This window comes from Homo sapiens, chromosome 6 (genome assembly GCF_000001405.40).
Source record: "Homo sapiens chromosome 6, GRCh38.p14 Primary Assembly".
NCBI lineage: Eukaryota > Metazoa > Chordata > Mammalia > Primates > Hominidae > Homo > Homo sapiens.
In genome coordinates, this window is record NC_000006.12 from 140,774,851 (window position 1) to 140,793,172 (window position 18,322).

Genomic DNA, 18,322 nt, shown 5'->3' on the forward strand with positions numbered 1-18,322 from the left:
TTCAAACAGAATTCAATGAATATTTCTTATGAAGAAGGTGTCAGCTGGAGTAGTTATGTATGGGGGATTTGCCATAAAAAGGTTCAAAGTTTGAGTTAATGTGAAATAAGGTTAATTTTCATTTATTTTAAAAAAGGATATATTATTTTGCTCAAGAATGTGGTAAGAAATGAACACTTGCCAATGTCAAAAAGTGAGTATTCATAAAATATGTTAAGTAAAATATTAGTCTTTACTGTAGTCCTGTAGAAATAATTTTTTTCTGCTCCATATTTTACCAAAACAACACAAGCTTTCATTTTTTAATTCAATGGCCACATATACAATTGCCCACAAATAGAAAAGTTGAACAAGATTATGTCAGTTAATCATCAGGCAAGTTAGTGACCAAACCATTCCCGCCCTTTGCTCTCAAGCCTATAATCTAAATCAGAGGTTTTCCTGACTGCATGTTAATGTCATAAAACCAGTTGTAGTCTTCTTACTCCACACACGTGTGTGCACAAATCTGAATGCATTCATTTTTGTTGTTTGTTTTTGTGTCCTGTTTGATCCACATTGAAGACATGTCATTTTGTTTTAGTGTCTCTTTGTTTAATTTGTTCGTTTTATATTTGATTGTGTCTTTGATATGCCTGTAAAGTAAATGGTTATTTGCAAATAATAAATAACCATATTATAAATATTTTATATTGTGTCTCTTGCTGCTATTATTAAGTACTTATTCCTTAATGTAAAAACTTCAAAGGAAATCTGGACCACTGAAGTTACAGGCATAGGTCCAGTTTCCATCAAAATAGAATGCCTCTAACATATATTCTACCAATCTGATTTCTTAGCTATTATAATTTTATAGTAGAAATAAATCCTTCCCTTCAAAAATATTACTTTTTCAATGAGGACTTACCACTTACAATTTTACGTAAATTGCAATTCTTCTGCCAGTTCCCTTCATTCTCTTTATCTTGCTTTATTTTTGTAGCACTTATTTCTTTCATAAATATTATGTAATTTGCATATAATTATGTTTATGATCTATCTCCTCTAATTAGAATATAAGTTTCATGAAGGCAGTGTCTTTTGTCTGCTAACAGAATAGTTTCTGAAAAACAGAAGGTGATTTTAAATACTTGCTGAATGAATGAAAGAGTACTCACTAGGGTTCTGAGATGAAATGTTTTATCTGTAAGTCTTGCCATATAAGTTTATATGACATCTATCTTTTGCCCTTTTATTAAAAAAAGAAAATCTTAAATAAGATTTCTTTTTAGAGATACTGGATCTTTTTGGAATTTTATGAAATACTATTACAGATTTATAAAACTATAGTGTTTTGGTTTAGATATTAAGAATAGTTTTCTGGCCAGAGGACTCATTTTTTAGATACTACTTGTAAAGCATATGTAATACAAATTTGTTGTATTTTTAAAACATAGATTTCCTCTTAGACACTTTGAAAACCTTAAAGACTTCATACATGCCACATCAATCTTGCCAATACTGTGAATCTCTGGTAAATAACTGTGACACACAATATAAAATGTTTATAATCTGGTCATTTATTATTTGCAAGTAACCAATTACTTAATAGGAATATTAAAGAAACAAATATAAAACCAACAAATTAAACAAATAGACATAGAAACAAAAGAAAATATCTTCAATGTGGATCAAACAGGACACAAAAACAAATTTGATTTTGAGACGGAGTCTTGCTCTGTCCCTCAGGCTGGATTGCAGTGGTGCAATCTCGGCTCACTGCAAGATTGCAGTGAGCTTGCAGTGAGCCGAGATCGTGCCACTGTACTCCGCCTCCCAGGTTTCACGCCATTCTCCTGCCTCAGCCTCCTGAGTAGCTGGGACTACAGGCGCCCGCCACCACGCCTGGCTAATTTTTTGTATTTTCAGTAGAGATGGGGTTTCACCGTGTTAGCCAGGATGGTCTTGATCTCCTGACCTCGTGATCCACCTGCCTCAGACTCCCAAAGTGCTGGGATTACAGGCGTGAGCCACCGCGCCCGGCCAAGATGATATTATACATTAATAAAAATTCCAAAATAACTTTCCCCTTAAAGAAAAATAAATTTTATATTAAAAAGGACGTGATTGCTGAGTAGATGCATTATATAAGAGGGAGAAGAAGGATCTGGAGCCAGATAAATAAAAAACACAAAGCTATAATTTGTGTAACATGAAAACTAGCCTAATATGGCATGAAGAATTCCAATCAGTGGTAGCTTAGGCCCAGGGACACAGAGAGAAACAAGGAGCTATGAGGAATCTTTTTGGGGTGATGTAAAAGTTCTATTACCTTATTTTTTAGTGCTATTTTTGTGAGTTCCTATACCTGTCAAAATTCAAAAAGTTGTACACTGTAAAGAGATGTAATTATTGTACATAAATTATTCCTAAGCAACTTGATGAGCAAAACCAAAAGTATCTAAAGATTTGTTAGACAAATAAAAGTTATAAGAACTAATCCCTAAAGAGCCATACTAAAGGGCATACTAAAAAATATTCAAGCATAAAGAAAATTATCTCTGTTGGAAAATCAGAGGAATAAAGAGCAAATCTAAATCAATATTGACTGTATAAGCAATGATTATGGCTTGTTTCTTTTAAAGTATATACCAAATTAAATATAGGAGTTCAAAGGCATACGATTTGTGAGAAAGTGACTTGATTTAAATTGTTCTAAGTTGCTTACATTGCCCAGGAATAAGCCAGAAGTACACATGAATAGTATACATAGGTCATTTTAAAATGTATGTTGTAATCTCTCGGCTAAGCACTAACACTATAATGAAAGAGTAAAAAATTCTGAAAATAATAGAGGAGGAAATATAGTTAAATACATACACATACAAACACATATGCACACATGACTGTCCCAAAGAATAAATTAAATACACACACATGCACACATAATTGTCCTAAAGATAAAGGAACGAGGGGGAAAAAAAAAAAACAGAGCAGGGGGACAAATAAAGAGCAAATAGCAAGATGGTAGATTTAAACTCAAACGTGTACATAATTACATTCATTTCAACTCAGCTATTGTGCAAATTAAAAGACAATGGCTATTAGAGTGTGTGCACAAGTATACACTCACACAAACACAAATACGCTGACATATATATAAAAAGAAACATGATAATGATAAAATATTAATTTCACCAAGAACATGTAAACATCCCAAGGTCTATAAGCCTATAACATATTCTCCAATAGAAATAAAACAAATATTTACAAAACTGAAGGGCAAATATACGGTGATAGTGAGAGATTTTAATAAACTTCTCCCTGTGACTGATAGACAAAAAAATCAACAAAAATATAGAAAATTTCATATAATTAGCAAATTTGACTTACTTGATAAACGTGAAACATTGTAAATATACACAAAGCAAGTTGCTCAATAGTTTCAATTGCACGTGTAACTTTTTAAAAAATTGACTGTATCCTTCACCACAAAGCAAGCCTCAATTAATTATAAAAAGTAAAATTATTACAATATGTTTTATGAGTACAATAACTCAAACTATAAATCAAAAAAGATAACTAAAAAAATCATAATTTGGAAATTAAGAAATGTACTTCTACATAAGCCATAGATCAAAATGAAATCAAAATGGGAATAATAATAGTTTAGATTAATCATGATAAATTATTACACATCAGAAGTTATGAGATATAGAGAAGCTATACTTACAGGAAAATTTATGGCTTTAATGCTTATTTAAGAAAACAAGAAAAGCTAACTCAATGACTTAACTTCTTAAATTAGAAAAACATCGCAAAATTAAATGCCAAAATATACAAGAAGGGAAAGATAAAATTAAGCGTATAAATTAGTAAATAGAAAATGGTTGTAAAATAGAGTCAATAGAGTAAAAATGTGGTTCTTTAATGATTTTGTCTGATGAAAGTGATCAAGAAATGAGAGAAGGTACAAAAAATCAGTGTCAGTAATACAAAAAGAGGATGTTACCACAGATCTTGAAGATACTAAATATTCTAAAATGTTAATACATAAGGGATGTTCACATAAAATTGAAAGATTCAAAATTTTAAAGCTGTCAAATATCCCCAAATTTAAATGAGCTAAATGCAATTCCACTCAAAATTTCATTTTTTTAAGAATTTCACAATGTTATTAAGAAACTATAAATAATCAAGAAGAATCAACTCATTCTTGAAGGAGAAGATCATGGTGGAAAATGTTGCTTTCCTGGATATGAAAGCTCATCATAAAGCTATATTAAATAAAATAGCATGGCATTGACTCAGGATATATAGGATATATATAAAAAGACCAATGGACCAGGATAGATCAGAAATAGACTTGAGAATATTCTGATTAGTTTATTTACTAAACATATGGCAATGTATTGAAGTGGCATAAGGATAAAGATAAAGGATAATATTTTCAATAAATAATATTGTATCAATTGTTTAACCGTGGAAGAAAATAACGTAAATTTACTTTTTCTTATCACATAAACAAAAACTTTTCTAAATGGATTTTTACATAAATATAAAAGAGAAAACGACACATCTTTTAGACAATAATATAAGAAAAAATCATTATACTCAAGGTAAAAATGTATTAAACATAGTATGACTATGCAATTCAACGTTCTATCTGGAACAAGTTTTGACAGAGAAAGGGAGGAGCTATTAACAAATATGCTGAGGCATGAACCAAGAATGTGTCATGCAAACAGGATAAGTGCATTGCCACATAAACAGGACAAAGAAAGAATTAGTAATAAAGAAAAAATTAAAACATTGATTTCTCTTTTAACTAATAATACATAAATTAAGAATCTCAAAATGCAAAACAAGGTACATAATGGGAAAATATATTCATATCCTGCTTTTACAATAAATTTCAACTAAGACAAAATTATCCAAGCAAATGGAAAAATGTCAAGGGAGTTGAACAGAAACATTGTTGGTGGGGATATCCAATGGTCAATAAACAAGTTAAAAGCTCTACTTTATTAGTGGAGCAAGACGGCAGAATAGAAGGCTCCACCAGTCGTTCCCCACAACAACCCCCTGGGCAAGGACAACAACGTAACAACTATCTACACACACATACACACATGCGCGCGCACACACACACACAAAGCACCTTCATAAAAACCAAAATCAGGTGAGCACTCAATCAGGTGAGCTGGTTTTAACTTCATATCGCTGAAAGAAGCACTGAAGAGGCAGAAAAAAGTCTTGAATTATGATCATCCCCCCATTCCCCATCCCCTGTCAGCCACAGTATGGTGCAAGGGGCGCGTTTCTGTGCACTAGGGAGAGACAGAGCACAGCAATCAGTGCTGTCCTGTTAGAGCAGAAAGGAAACCCAGAGCAAACTCAGCTGACACTCACCCACAGAGGTAGCATTTTAGCCAGCCCTAGCCAGAGGGGAGTCTTCCATCCCAGTAGTCTGAACTCCAGTTTCCACAAGCCTCGCCACTGCAGGCTAAAGTGCTCCGGGGTTCTAAATAATCTTGAAAGGCAGCCTAAGCCACACAGACTGCAATTCCTAGGTGAGTCCTAGTGCTGAACTGGGCTCAGAGCCAGGGGACTGGGTGAGTAGGGCCAACTACCTACTGAGACATCAGTTGAGCCAGCTAAGGGAGTGCTGGCTTGACCCCTCCCCTAACCCCAGGTTGCACAGCTCCTGGCTCCAAAAGGGACCCCTTTGTTTAACTTGAGGAGAGGAGAGGGAAGAGTGGGAAGGACTCTGTCTTGCGTCGTGGATACCAGCTCAGCCACAGCAGGATATAACACAAGTCAAAGTCATGAGGCCCCCATTCCAGTCCCTAGCTCCCAATGAACATTTCTAGACACACCCTGAGCCAGAAGGGAGCCCACTGCCTTCAAGGGAAGGATGCAGTTCTGGCAGGATTCAGCATCTGCTAACTGAAGAGCCCAGCAGTGACACCCAGGTACTACATTGAGGGCCTTGTTTGAGACTCTGAGACTTGCTGGTTTCAAGTGAGACTCAGCATATTCCCAGCTATGAAAGCTATGGGGCAAGACTTCTTCTGCTTATGAAAAGCAAAGGGAAAAGTAAAGGGGACTTTGCCTTTCTGCTTAGGTACTAGCTCAGCCACAGAGAGGTAGAGTACCAAGTAGGCCCCTGGAGTCCCTGCCTCTAGGACTTGGCTCTTGGACGGCATTTCTGGACCTGCCTTGGGCCAGAGCAGAGCTCACAGCCCTGAAGGGTGAATCCCAAGCCAGGCAGCATTCACTCCAAGCCAACTGAAAAGCCCTTGGGCCTTAAGGGAACATGGGCAGTAGTCTGGCAGTTGTCCCCATGGGCCTGTGGTGGTGGAGGCCACAAGGTGAGGCTCCTCTGTCTTTGGAAAGGGAAGGGAAGAGTGGGAAAAACTCAAAACAAAATGCTTTTAACTTGCTCATATGTCATTACTATTTTCTATCAATATTTCAAGTAAATAGGACTCTGGGATCTATGTATTTATAGAGTGTTGATTTTAACCACTAATTAAATATGTTTATTAAAACCTACTTGAATATTAACCTAGGCACTATTATTTTGAATGGGGATTCAAATGGCATTATTTTATAGCAACTCATTAAATATTTTAATATTATATAAAATTTTAAATACTTTTTAAAAACAGCATTAAGGCCTGAGATGATAAAAGCTATTTAACAATTTGATATGATTCTACAATAAATATTGAAAGCCTTGTTGATTAGAGAGTAGTACATGAACAAAAAAGAAATGAACTACCTATGCATGACTAGTAATTTATTATACTTTGACCTACCTAGTCATCTCACATTTGTTTGTTAATAGTTATTGAATCCAAGATAAGATTATAATTGGCTTAGGACAAACCTGAGACAGGTGTCCTTTGTAAAGATTTTTGGCTCCCAAGAAAAAAAGTCCCAGGCAAGTCAAATCAGCAAATTATAATTCTACAGTTTAAGAATAATGGGGATATTTCCAAAAGAACTGAGAGTTTTTAAATAAGTCAAAGTCATTCTGACCATAATTATATGACATCTCAAGGTCATCAAATATGACCTATAATGGAGATAATCAACCTATTTAGAATCTATGACATAGGTCCCCATGTGCAAATTCAGTGATTAAAAAACTTGCCATGTATCTACACTCATGTAAGCTAAATGGCAGACTTCTTCACATGGAAAGGTTAAAATGTAAGATTAATGCTACACAGTAGCTGATCTTGAGGCACCTTAGGGACATGTGACGTGGAGAAGAAATTCAAGAATAGATAGAAAACTGTCAGTAGCATTAGTGCTGAGTTGAATCTCTAGATCCAGGGTTCAGGCTGCCTTATTTCTTTAAGTTATCCTTTCTCATTAGGTGATTGAGTTTGATGTTTCATATTCTAGACCAGAAAATATCTGCATATCTAGAAATTAGTCTATGCTTATCAATAGTTTTAGAATAGCTTTGGATATTTTGTCCAAATTTCTTTTCTTTTCTTTCCTTTCTTAGAGACAGAGTCTCATTCTGTTGCCCAGGTTGAAGTGCAGTCGCATGATAATACTTCACTGCAGCCTTGAACTCCTGGACTCAAGTGATCCTCCCACCTCAATCTCCTGAGTAGCTAGGAATACAATTGGCATAAGTGCCACCATGCTTGGTTATTTTTATTTATATATTTTTTATTTTTGTAGAGATAGTCTCTCACTATGTTGCCCAGACTGGTCTGGAACTCCTGGCCTCAAGCAATCCTCCTACCTCGGCTTCCCAAAGTGCTAGGATTACACATATGAGCCACCTTGCTCAGTCCAAATTTCTTCAGTTTCAAGGATGTACAAGGATAACCCTCCAATACATTAGTCTCTTTTATTTTAAAAAGTAGTATTTAGAGTATATTTATTTAATGTAGAATCAAAGGGAGAGTATAGAAACATAACTTGGATGTCTATGAACAAAGATGATTCTTTTTAGGGACAAAATTGTATGGTGTATAATGAGTTGAATTTTTCATGGAAGTTTTATGCGCTAACTCACATATTGGGATTATGGTAACTATACACACACTTAGTCAAGCCAATATTAGTCTTTTAAAAGGCATTTTAAGGACATTGAATTATCTCATTTTTTGAAAAAAGTATTTTATTATAGCAAGAACACAACATGAGATATGCTCTCTTAAACTTTTAAGTGTACAAAGCAACACTGTTAACTACAGGGGCAGTGTTATACAGCATATCTCTAGAACTTACTCATCTCTCATTACTGTAACTTTGCCTGTTGATTAGCAGCTCCAAATCCTTCCTGCTTCTGCCCCTGGCAGTCACCATTCTGCTCTTTGATTGTATACTTTGGCTATTTTAGGTATGTGAAAATTAAGGACAGATCCTATGCTGACCTGATAAACAAAGATAGCTCTTTCGAGCTCAATGTACATTGAGTGTAACAAGAGGGAAGGAGGGAGGAAACCACTGCCCATTTGGGATTCCTTCAAATTCACATCTCTCCAAAATGGTAAATTCTGTCTTTATTTAAATGACCAAACTTTCTGATTGTCAGCTCTGTATTTTCATTTTGTAATATTACTATGGCAGAGGCATTAAAAATATGGAAATGTTCTCCATTGAGTAGAATTAGTTACCAAAAATGATGACTAATAATTATCAGCCTCCCAAAAGACATGAACAGATACTTCTCAAAAGAAGACATTTATGCAACCAACAAACATATCGAAAAAAACTCAACATCACTGATCATTAGAGAAATGCAAATCAAAACCACAATGAGATACCATCTCACACCAGTCACAATGGCATTTGTTACAAAGTTGAGAAACAACAGATGATGGCAAGGCTGCAGAGAAATAGGAATGTTTTTACACTGTTGGTGGGAATGTAAATTAGTTCAACCCTTTTGGGAGACAGTATGGTGATTCTTCAAATACCTAGAACTAGAAATACCATTCGATCCAGCAATTCCATTACTGGATATATACCCAAAGGAACATAAATCATTCTATTATGAGGATACATGCACATGTGTGCTCATTGCAGCACTATTCACAATAGGAAAGACATGGAATCAACCCAAATGCCCATCAATGACAGATTGGGTAAAGAAAATGTGATACATATACTCCATGAAATACTATGCAACCATAAAAAGGAACGAGACCATGTCCTTTGCAGGGACATGTACGGAACTGGAAGCCATTATCCTTAGCAAACTAATGCAAGAACAGAAAATCAAACACGACATGTTCTCACTTATAAGTGGGAGCTGAACAATGAGACCACATGGACACAGGAAGGGGAACAACACACACTGGGGCTTGTCAGGGGGTGGAGAAGGAGCATGGGAGAGCATCAGGAATAATAGCTAATGCCTGATGGTTTTACTATCTAGGTGATGGGTTGACAGGTGCAGTAAACCACCCTGGCACACGTTTATCTATGTAACAAACCTATACATCCTGCACATGTATCCTGGAGCTAAAATAAAATAAAATAAAATATTATCAGCACCCAACAAAATTATGACTGATTCCTTCTATATTCTGTGGCCTTGTCCCAAATGAAAAGTAGGGGAAATTAACCTTTGACCTCTCTGGCCTCTTCTCTGTGCTCTTATTTCCTTCTCTAGTGATACTTCCCTATTCCTTAGGCACCCAGTGATTTTATAATCCTTTCCTTCCCCTCTTTATCTATTAACCTCTGTTCTCAAGAAAAGACCCAAATTGAATTTATACTACATTCCGAGAGACTAATTTAAACATTTTGTGTTATCTTTCCCAGGGAGACTTGTATTTTCTGACATTCAACTTAATCGAAGAATAAAGCTTTAACAGTGGCATCAGTGACATGATGAATGATGCATCATTTTGAAGTAATAATGGTTTTCCCAGTGACTCAGAAATAGCAGTATGTTCAGATTCAGTGTGCCTGTTCATGAGGTGAGCACTCCATAAGCCATGCAAAACTGTTGTATGGGAAAAGACAAGGGGGAAGGCAGGAAGTAAAGGTCAAAGAATGCACACAGATTGTGACAGAAACATGTATATTAAGAGACTTGTAACACAATGGGAAACAGGTTTAATTCAATCTTGGAATGTTTCCCTTCTACATGAATATTAAGAATAGTATATCATAAATCAAACTCCAATATTTATAATTGTCAAGTCATAACTCAATCACCTCTCTCTTTCACAATATATCTCCTTTTAAAAAATAAAGTTTTGTTTTCAATTTCTTAAAATACTACTGGAATGGAATTTCCCAAAGGATTACTATTTAAAATCTAAACTTCCTGGTTGGTGTGTTCTCATGATTTTAGAGCAAGTCTAAAAAAATCTAACCTTCCCTGTTTTCACACAATTTGCAGAGCTCTGCAGAAATTGCACATCTGGCTCTTTGCCTGTGCACCTGAAGTTATCTCAGGAGAAATTATACAAATTAAATACAGACACAGAGAAGGTCTTTTTTAATTCAAAGGAAAAGAATATATATTCAAGAAAAGCAAAAAAGGTAAGAGAAAAGGTAAGGGACTGTAGTGATATTAAGCTAGGAAACTAACAAAATGATGACAATATAAAATAAATGATGTGAAAAGAACAACAAAAACAATATAAAGTAGAAATGAAAATATATTGTGTTGGCTCAGGAAAATATTTAAATTACTTTCTTTCTTCTATTCCATAGGTGGAAGTTGGGCCTTTGGTCATTAATTCTCTCTCTCTCTCTTGCTAATTTTTGCAAATAGGGAGAACTTGGAACATCTGCCAAAATTTTTATTTTGTGCTTTATTTTGGCTACCTGTTTATTCCATAGAACTATGACTTGTCCTGGTGATTCAGGCTTACTCCTTAATTTCTGAACTGATTGCCAGAGAGTCAGGGATATACACATACATTATATATACACACACACACACACACACACACACACACACACACACACACATATATATATACACACACATACATATATATATATACACACACATACATATACATATATGGGAGATTATATCTATATCTATATCTATGTCTATCCCTCCCATGTTATTTCCTGCTTTTCTACTACTTGTTCCACTTTCCCCAGGTCTTTTGAAACTAAAAATAAAATTATCACCTCACTGTAAGTATCATGTCTTCTGCTTCAGGGGTTGCACACTGCTTCAAGGTAGTAATTGTTAATTATTCAAGACTGACTTCTTGTAAAGTAATCTTCTAGAAAGACAGCTGGACTTTTAAGACTTCATGAACTCTAAAGATATGGCAGGCCAGGATCCAAGGCCAAAGGTATAATACCTCCAAAAGCTACGGTTATGAGTCTTGGAAGTCAGCCCTTGGTTGTATCAGAGGAAATACAGTTCTCTCTAACCATGAATGCTGAAGAGGAAGAATCAAGCTGGAGGCTAGGATTATGCCATATCATACTGCTTTTGGATCTCAGCACACAGGATGCCAGGGGAGGGTAATGTTCTTACCATGAAGCTTGTCATCAGAGGTCCAAAAGAAGAGAGCCACAAAATGTGTACTGTTCAATGTTGTGTGCACATCTAGCATGAAACATCTTTTGCATCAGTGACCAATCTGAGTACTTACATCTTAACTCTAAGGCACACACTAAAATACATAATGCCTGGTTGTTCCTAGATACTTACTTGGTATAAAATTTAATTTTTTCTAAAAATGATCTTATATGGTAGCTTTTTTTTTTGAGACGGAGTTTCGCTCTTGTTGCCCAGGCTGGAGGGCAATGGCATGACCTCAGCTCACTGCAACCTCCATCTCCCGGGTTCAAGCAATTCTCCTGCTTCAGCCTCCAGAGTAGCTGGGATCACAGGCGCCCATCACCATGCCCAGCTAATTTTTTGTATTTTTAGTAGAGACAGGGTTTCCCCATGTTGGCCAGGCTGGTCTTGAACTCCTGACCTCAGGTGATCCACCTGCCTCTGCCTCCCAAAGTTCTGGGATTACAGGCGTGAGCCACCACGCCCGGTCATATGTAGCTCTTTACTGTCTTTACAGCATGATAGCTGCTTAATACATATTCAATATTCATTGAATTATAACATTCACTGAATTGCAATATTTTTTCTCATTGTTCACTCTGTTTTCCGATTTTTCACATACCCATCCACATCCCCAATGCTCACAACTAGCCGCAACATGAATACTTTAAATCAATGAAGTCCCTGAAATAAAAAATTATGAATAATCATTATTTTTGTCGTTTTTGTCATTGTTTACATCTAGTGAGACAGAATTCTTTATTACCAAATTCTGTTCACGTTATAGCCACTTCCTTCTCTGAAACTTCATTATCACCATTATAGCTTCTGGTATGATCAGCTAATCTCACCATTACAAAAGTCACTTACCTGATCCTCCTGAAAAGTGTCTTGACCTAACCCTAATACAAAGCATTAATTTTTTAAGTTTTCTTTTATGGGAAATTATTTACATTTAATTATAACACACATATAGTAAAATGTACATATCATCAATACACACTTCCACGAAGTTTAACAAAATGAATTAATACATATAACCACCATAGATCAAATAAAATATTTAAACTTTCAGATAGCCATACTAATGGCCTAAATGCAAATCTCTCTGCATAGTATTTCAAAAACTGTAGAGATGAACCGCAAGAACAAAATGAACACACATTCTACATCTTCAGCATAGCTAAAAGATAGAAAACACTGAGAATTTAAGAATTAATTTAAATAGAAAAAATAAACAGTTTCCAGTAGAGCTTTTCCTTGCACTCTTACCACAAGCATTTGATCAGTGTTCAGAGTAATATTTATATCCATGTTTATATCAGTAAAAATATAAAAGAATGATAATAAATGAACCACAAGTCTAACTCAAAAAGCAAGACAAAGAAAATGATATAAGTATAAAGAAATCATAAATAAGGAAACAAGAAAAACACAAATGATTATACCAATCGATAAACCCAAATTTTAAAAAGCCAATTTAATCAAGAATAAAAGATAGAAACACACAATATAAAAGAAGAAAAGAAAGGATGGGAGAAATATAATAATATAGATTCTTTACTTTTAAATATGCTTAAACAACTAAATACAGTCAATTATTTCTTTGGAAAATGCAGTTTATCAAACTTGATTTTATGAAAGAAAGAAAACTTGCACATGCCAATTTTGGCTAAAGAAATAAATCACTGTGCAGAAACTATAGTACATCTCCTCAGTGGGGAACCACACAGATGTAGAAACCATGAGGAAGATCTTCATGAACTGAAGTAGAGTGAGTTCATAAAAAGCAAAAAGTATATCTAGTTTTCTAACTTTTAGGTAAGAATAAAGCAGAAATATAAAAATACAAACGTAACTATTATGCAAAGAGAAACATAGGAAGCATAGATTAGAAATCAGTAGATCAATGGATGGGAATGAGGTTGAAGGAATCAAGAGAGTAACTACAGAGTTTGGTTTTTTTTTCAGTGTGGCTTTAAATTTTTGAACCATGTTAATGTTTTACAAAAAATAAAAATCAAATGAAAAGAAAAATTTCTATCATAGAATATGAACGGGGCTAAACAAATATGTTTATCCTTGATTCTGTTAATGTCATGTATCGTGTTTATTGATTTGCATATGTTGAATCCTCCTTGCATCACTGGGATGAATTTCACTTGATCCTGATGAATGACCTTTTTAATGTATTGTTGAATTAGGTTTGCCAGTATTTTGTTGAGGATTTCTGCATCTATGTTTATCAGTAATACTGGTCTGTAATTTACTTTTTTTTTCGTCTTTGACTCTGATGAAGATCTGTTTGTGTTTTTAAATATTATAATAGCATAACTTTGTCTCTTCATTCAAATACTTACGCTTTATGTTTATTTTTCTTATCTTCTTTAACTGTTTGAAATTTTTAGTACAGTTTCGAATAGAAGTGTGAATTGAAGGCATCCTTGTCTTTCTCAGTTACAAAGGGAATTCTCTCGACATTTCACAATTAAATATACAGATGTTCGTCATCTTATGATGGGGTTATATCCTGATAAACTTATCATAAGTTGAAAATACTGTAAGTCAAAAATGCATTTGTTACACATGACCTGATAAATATCATAACTTAGCTTAGCCTACCTTCAGTGTGCCCAGAACACTTATATTAACTCACACTTGGGCAAAATCATCTAAAGAAAAGCCTATTTTATAATAAAGTGTTAAATGTTTTATGTATTTACCGAATAATGTACTAAAAATTGAAAAATAGAATTGTTGTATGGGTGCCCAAAGTATAGTTTCCACTAAATGCATAATGCATGTGCACCATTGTATGTGCCAAAAGTCATAAATAGCAACATTGTAGGTCAGGGACCACCTATATTGGATTTGCTATTGGTTATTTTTATACAATGTATTTTAAAGTTAAGGAAGTACTCTCATTCCTAGTTTTTTGATATTTTTAAAGTGCACATATTAAGTTTTTAATACTCCGTTTATCTATTATTAGATGTTTTGTAGAATTTGTTTATGGAATAATGACATTAATTAATTTTACTCATCAATTTAAAGTTACTTCGTTGGATACCTAATTTGGTCCTGATGTGTTTACATTTTATACATATATCTTTGTATGTTTGGTTTGATAATATTTTCAAATATTTTATTTATTCTGAGAAAATTGGGCTATAATTTTACTCATCTATGGACTTTATCTTTTATTATTTTCTGGAAGTTTTCTCTATGGTTGAAATGTTCTTTTACTTGCATGTTGCTAGAACACACATCTGTCTTCTTTGATGCAATAGTTGGTGTGGTGTTTCAATTTCTTTTATGGTTATAGGCATGACTCGTATTAGCTGGTACACACTACTGTGACTATATTGGTTTTTGATAGCCAGTGTTCTTTGTGATTATCTAAGTGCCCATGTGGCTAACCTTCTAATTGGTTGATAGCTGTGCTATATCAGTTGTTAAAATATTTTTTAATATTTCTGTGGGTTATAAGACTATAACTGCATAGGGCTGATTTAATAGCCCTTCTCTGGTCATGGCAGATTAACATTATTGGCCTCTTCAAAATCCCTTTCCTGTATCACACATTTATTTTCATTTACTCCTATTCCCCTCCCTTTAGAGGAAACATTCTAATGCATTTAATGTGTACTTATTTGGTTTTCTTTATTGCTATAACAAATTTTGAATTGTTTTATATGCATTTTTAATTTACATAAATTCTATTGTCTTACATGTCTTATTAAGTATATCTCTTACTTACTCCATTCATCACCATACCTTTAAGACCCATCATTCTTCATGCGCTTTTGGGCACGTTAACCTTGTTGCTTGTAACTGTGTTGCTTCGAGGTCCTGAACAATACTCTAGGTGTGGATTTATTGCATTTTACCTACTACAGTTCAAGCAATAGTCCCCCAGTTTGCCTGTAACATTCTACTACCACAAATAATGATGCAATAATCAAGCATCTTCCTACCTGTCCCTCGATACAGCTCTGTAAGACTTTCTTTGGGATATATACTCTAAAGAAGAACTGCAATGTCATAACAAATGGGTACAAATTTGATCACCCGATGCCAGATTGCTCCAGTGAATGCACAAGCCTGCCTTCCTACAAGGAATGCAAAAAGTTTACTATATCCCCATGATATTACTACCATGGAGTATTATTCAACTTTCTAGTCTTTAACATTCTAAGAGATGTAAAATAATATCATATTGAGTTTGCTTTTGCTATTTTGTGCATGACAAATAGTTTTTTATATTCAAGCAACTACTGGTAAATTAAATATAAGATTGAATAAATACTTGAATTCTATCATCTAATAAGATTTACTATGTGAACTTAAAGACAGTAAAGTCAAAAAGAACTATACCAATAACATTGTTTTAACTCTTATATGGGAGGAAATATTTTAAGTATGGTTGTTGATTCACATAGTGTACAAATAACATTTTAGTAATTTTTGATAAAAAAGTCTCTCACCTTAAGAAAGCATTAGCAAAATGTAACATTCAACTATATATTTATATATGTATATATGAATACGTGTGTATATGCTTAATATGTGTGTATGACCTAGTTGAGGAGTACTTTTATATACAATTCTGTTTTAGCTACAAAGAAAACAGACAGCTTGTACCCAACAAATTTATCATCAGTATGATATAAGTAGTTAAGAAGAATAAATTTTTGGACGAACTTTAAATGTATACAGAGAAACTGGGTTCTTTAGTCTCCAAAAAGTGTGCCACTGCTATGCCTCATACAGTCAATTACATACCCATGCTCTGTCCCAAAGTGTCAGAGTCTCCCACAAGAGCAATAGTAACTGAGAAATTCCAAAATCAGGCTGTAATAGTCAAGGTTCAGTTAGGAAGACTGAACCACGGTAAGTCTTATGGAACAAAGGAATGATTATAGAAATAGAGAAAAAATGGAAACCAAGGTTTAATATAGGGAGTTCAAGGATCAAAGTCACTGACCAGTCCTCCTGAGGCCACACATGTTTAGCCATGAGAGTGGTGCTGTAAAGGAAAATCTGGGCAGAGTGTAAGGAAACCTAATGCCTCTCTTTCTAGCTCAGGGCCTGCAATCATTGTTGGGCGGCTGTGGCAGAAATTAGGATGAATACTGAGTGAGTTCTTGCTCTCTTGGTTCCTTCGAATGCTGTTTTATAAAAAGAGCCTGACACCTCCCTCTCTGTTATTTCCTCTCTCAACGTAGGATCTCTCACACATCAGTTCCCCTTCACTTTTCACCATGAGTGGAAGCTGCTTGAGGGCCTCACCAGAAACTCAGCAGATGCCAGCAGCATGATTCTTGTACATTCTGCAGAACCATCAGCCAAATATACACCTTTTCTTTGTAAATTACCCAGCCTCATGTATTCCTTCATAGCAACACTAAATGGGCTAAGACAGCTGCCACATCCACTTCTTGTCAATTCGGCATTCCATACCACTCCTTGTCCAACTGAAGACAATAGCAAAATCATACACACCTATTACAGTTATCCTTCATAATATAAAAGCCACAATAGCCCTCTATCCATCCTCAATTGGGGACTGACTGTGTGCACGTGGCACACACACACACACACATAAATATAAAATTGAAAAATAAATATGATTCATTTCAGTAATGAGTCATAGAGCGGTATTTGATATTTGTAATTTCCAGTTTATACCTACTCCATTATTTCTTTTTCCATATAAATCATTTGAACTGTTCATGATTACTTGCCTAATGGAATAATGCAAAACTTTTATTCCTTAAGGATCTATGACATTAGTAGTTCCTTGCCTGTAAGAAATGTTGTCATTTTCTATTAACTTTTCTCATAGAATATAATAATTTTAAGACATTGCTATGCATATTCCTTGTGCTACAAACTGCTCTAGTCTCCCAATTCTGTAAAAGTAATACAATTTTCACTTGACAGTCACAATCAATTATACAGTCATCAGATTAACCATCTTCTTTACCTATTGATTCACTGGTATAATAATTTTAAACTGGTTAAGTGAAGTCTTAAATTTTAGTTTAATGGAATCATTGCTGTGGCCCTGGTGCAAGCATTGCCCTTTTGGGAATAAGTTCTATGAACCGGCAAGGCCCAAATTTGAAGGGACAAAAGCCAAAGTTTTGCTCATGGATTATTAGAGTTAATAATGACTGAAAATATTCTCTTTTTGTCTTTTGAGTTTCAGACTTGTACATCTTTTCTAGGAAAAAATAGTAAAATATATTAATTTCTAATATTTAGCATATATCTTGGATCATACTACCCAGCCTTTCAATGTGTTGTCATCTAGATGTTGTAATAACTAAGTCTTCAAAATACTTTCCAACCATTCTATCAGGCAACCTGCTTCAGAGTTAGGGGAAATGTGGAAGGACCAGTAAATAAAATGCACATTACTGAGCCCGTGTGTGACCTTCATTTCAACTGCCATGCCATTTTGTCATGAGACCTTTAAGAACAGAGGTGTCTGAGCAAAGAGTCTCGCCAATGTCCACAGAACAGATTATTTTCTCTGATTGAAAATTAAGATTCTACTTTTAGATATTGTAGTTTGTTGACCATTTAAAAAGGACACAGATATTTCCCCTCTTTGACTATTTAAAAATACCTGTGCACATAGCTCCTCTCTAGCCTCCCCTTGTCACTCATTTTCTGCTGTTTCTTCTAAATCTCAGGCTATTCAGTCAAACCATTAGATACTTTCTCTGAATAGCATAGAGCCGTAACTCTAACCATCTCTACTTTCAGGCAAAATGGACTATCAAGTTCATGGCATATTTCTGTCGATTA

General features: G+C 34.6%; 1 long non-coding RNA gene across 4 annotated transcripts in view; it reads left to right on the forward strand.

The window, feature by feature from the left end:
* Positions 1 to 10,585, forward strand: part of LOC105378027 (uncharacterized) — a 246,946-nt gene extending 236,361 nt beyond the window's left edge. For 2 of the 4 annotated variants that reach the window (XR_001744385.2, XR_001744388.2), the window contains 3 exons: positions 8,354 to 8,503; positions 9,784 to 9,941; positions 10,370 to 10,551. This is a non-coding gene — a long non-coding RNA (uncharacterized LOC105378027). Of the gene's footprint in view, positions 1 to 8,353; positions 8,504 to 9,783; positions 9,942 to 10,369 lie in introns of all 4 variants that reach the window. The other 2 variants (XR_001744387.3, XR_007059791.1) reach the window with 2 other exon arrangements.
* Positions 10,586 to 18,322: the final 7,737 nt, after the last annotated feature.